Source organism: Homo sapiens, chromosome 12, assembly GCF_000001405.40.
Source record: "Homo sapiens chromosome 12, GRCh38.p14 Primary Assembly".
Classification (NCBI taxonomy): domain Eukaryota; kingdom Metazoa; phylum Chordata; class Mammalia; order Primates; family Hominidae; genus Homo; species Homo sapiens.
The window spans coordinates 48,258,663-48,262,229 of NC_000012.12; positions in this window are offsets into that span (position 1 = coordinate 48,258,663).

A 3,567-nucleotide genomic window follows, 5' to 3' on the forward strand; every position below is an offset into this window, starting at 1 on the left:
TTATAGGTGGTATAAAAGCCAAATAGTCGATAGTAGTCAAATTCATAGAGATGGAAAGCAGAGTGATGGTTGCCAGGGGCTGGCAGGAGGAGGAATGGAGAGTTATTGTTTAATGGGTACAGAGTTTCAGTTGGGAAAGATAAGAAAGTTCTGGAGCTGGATAGATGTTTGCACATAGGTCGTACTTAGTGCCACAGACACTTAAAATGATTAAAATGGTAAATTTTATGCTATGTATATTTTACCACAATTTAAAAAAACAGAAAACGCAGTTGTATATGTAACATGTATGCTTCTTTATATGTACTAAATAAAAAGTTTTATATGTATTAATAACAAGATTACACATAGGTATCTACGGTAACATGTGATCTAGTGGCAAGTCTCATAATTACCAGAATTCTGAAGTAGTGATGAGTCTAAACAATATTTTAAAATATCTGCAGCATTGGCAATGTGATGTAAAAATATCTGGTGACAAAGTCAGAGGTTCTGCTAATATTACTGTGGCTTCTTAGCTAAGGTCACAATTAAATAAAAGGATAAATTTCAGTTAGGTTAAGTGAAAATGAAGATGTAATGTTCATCCAAGTTCGCAGACCTCCTTTTTTCTAAGTAGGTATCCCTTCAGAATTTGTGGACTCTCAGATAAGAATCCTTATATTTGTGTTAGATCTTCTTTTTTTATATTTGAAATTCATTATTTTTCCTTTATCTTTTTAAAAACCTTTTTAAGATTTCTCTTTTTAAATTGAGATAAAATATACGTGCATAAAGGTGGCCAAATCAGTGAGTTTTTTACAAAATGTATGTAGTTGTATAACCAAGTATCCCAATGAAGATGTAGAACATTTCCATCATCCTAGAAATTTTCTTTGTGTCGTATTCTAGTTCATTTCTCTAAAGCTCAGAGGCAACCACTTTTCTTGAATTTCATGTAAATATAATTACATAGGTAAGTACTCTCTGTTGTCTGGCTTCCTTCACTGAACATACTGTTATTGAGATTCATTCATACTGTTATGTGTATACTCTTTTATTTATTTATTTATTTTTGAGATGGAGTCTCGCTCAGTTGCCCAGGCTGGAGTTCAGTGATGCAATCTCGACTCACTGCAGCCTCTGTCTCCCGGGTTCAAGTGATTCTCCTGCCTCAGCCTCCCAAGTAGCTGGGATTACAGGCATGTGCCGCCATGCCTGGCTAATTTTGTTATGTGTATACTTTTTAATTTTATTGTTGAATAGTATTCCGTGAAATGAATATATCACAACTGTTCATTTATTCTGCTGATGATAGACATTTGGGTAGTTTCCAGCTTTTCACTATAATGAATAAAAGTTCTGTAAACACTTGTGGATGTATGTTTTTATTTCTCTTGGGTAAATACCAAAAAGTAGAATTGCTGGATCATATAGTGGGTGTATGTTTAACTTTACAGAAAACTGCCAGTTTTCCAAAGTGAGTGTACCATTTCATACTCCCACTAGTAACATATCAGAGTGGGTGAGAAGTGGTGTTTCATTATGATTTTAATTTGCATTTTGCCTGCAACTAATACTGAGAATCCTTTTATATGTTTTTTTAGCCATCTGTACTTTTTTTTTTTTTTTTTTTTTTTGAGAAGAGTCTCGCTCTGTCGCCCAGCCTAGAGTGCAGTGGTGCGATCTCGACTCACTGCAAGCTCCACCTCCCGGGTTCAAGCCATTCTCCTGCCTCAGCCTCCCGAGTAGCTGGGACTACAGGCGCCCGCCACCACGCCCGGCTAATTTTTTTGTATTTTTAGTAGAGACGGGGTTTCACCGTGTTAGCCAGGATGGTCTCGATCTCCTGACCTCGTGATCTGCCCGCCTCGGCCTCCCAAAGTGCTGGGATTACAGGCGTGAGCCACTGCGCTTGGCCCTACATCTTTTGTGAAGTGTCTGTTCAAGTCCTCTGCCCATGTTTTGAAACTGTTGTCATTGTAGGACTTCTATGAATGTTCTGGATACAATTCTTTTATTTGACAAACAGACTGTAAATATTTTCAACTGGTCTGTGATTTGCCTTTTCATTTTTTAGAAGGTGTCTTTCGGCTGGGTGCTGTGGCTCATGCCTGTAATCCCAGCACTTTGGGAGGCCGAGGCGGGCGGAATACCTGAGGTCAGGAATTTGAGACCAGCCTGGCCAACATGGTGAAATTCCGTCTCTACTAAAAATACAAAAATTAGCTGGGCGTGGTGGCACGCAGCTGTAATCCCAGCTACTCGGGAGACCAAGGCAGGAGAATAGCTTGAATCTGGGAGGCAGAAGTTACAGTGAGCCGAGATCGCGCCACTACACTGCAGCCTGGGTGACAGAGCGAGGCTCCAGGCTCCCTCTCAAAAAAAGAAAGTATCTTTCAAACAGCAAAAATGTTAATTTTGATATCTAATGTATCAATTTTTAATTTCTAATTATTATTTTGGTGTCTATTATAAGAAATCTTTGGCTCCTCAAGGTTGCAAGACATTCTTCTATATATACCTAAAAATTTTAATATTTCAGATTTACATTTATTTCTATGATTCATCTTGAATTAATTTTTATTTTCAGAAAGATGTCAATATTGAGCCAAGATTGATTTGTTTTCCTATACGTTTGTCAACTTGTTCTACTACCATTTATTGAAAAGCTTTCCTTTCCTCATTGAATTGTCTTGGAAACTTTGTTGAAAATAAATTCACCACATATATGTAGGTTTAATTCCAAATTCTTTGTTCTGTTCCTTTGATACTGTAGTGTAACTCCTCCAACTTTGTTCTTTTCCCAGATAGCTCTAAACATTCTAGGTTCTTTGGCTTCCCACAAAAATTTTAAAATTACTTTGTCCATTTCAACAAAAGATCTTGCTGAGATTTTGAATGGAATTGCATGAACTCTATAGGGCAATTTTAGAAAAATCGATGTCTTAATAATATTGAGTCTTCAAATCCTTAAACAATGTATTTCTCTTCATTTATTTAGGTCTTTTAAATTCATATCAGCAGTGTTTCATAGGTCAATGTCAAGATCTTATATATCTTTTGTTAAATTTATATATAAATATATCATGTTATTGGATAGCATTGTAATTTTTTTAACTTTCATTTTAGGTTTGGGAGTACATGTGCAGATTTGTTATATAGGTAAACTCATGTAATGGGGGCTTGTTGTATAGATTATTTTGTCACCTAGGTACTAAGCCAAGTATCCAGTAGTTATTCTTTCTGTTTCTCACCCTCCTCCCACCCTTCACCCTCCTCCCACCCTTCACCCTCCTCCCACCCTTCACCCTCCTCCCACCCTTCACCCTTCAAGCCCTGGTGTTTGTTGTTCCCTTCTTTGTGTTCATGAGTTCTCATAATTTACCTCCCACTTATAAGTGAGAATATGTGGTTTTGGTCTTCTGTTCTTGCGTTAGTTTGCTAAGGATGATGGCCTCCAGCTCCATCCATGTTTCTGCAAAAGACATAGGGCTGTACAGTATTCCATGGTGTATATATGCCACGTTTTCTTTATCCAATTTTTCCCAGTTGTTTGTGGCTATAATATAGAAATACCATAGAAAT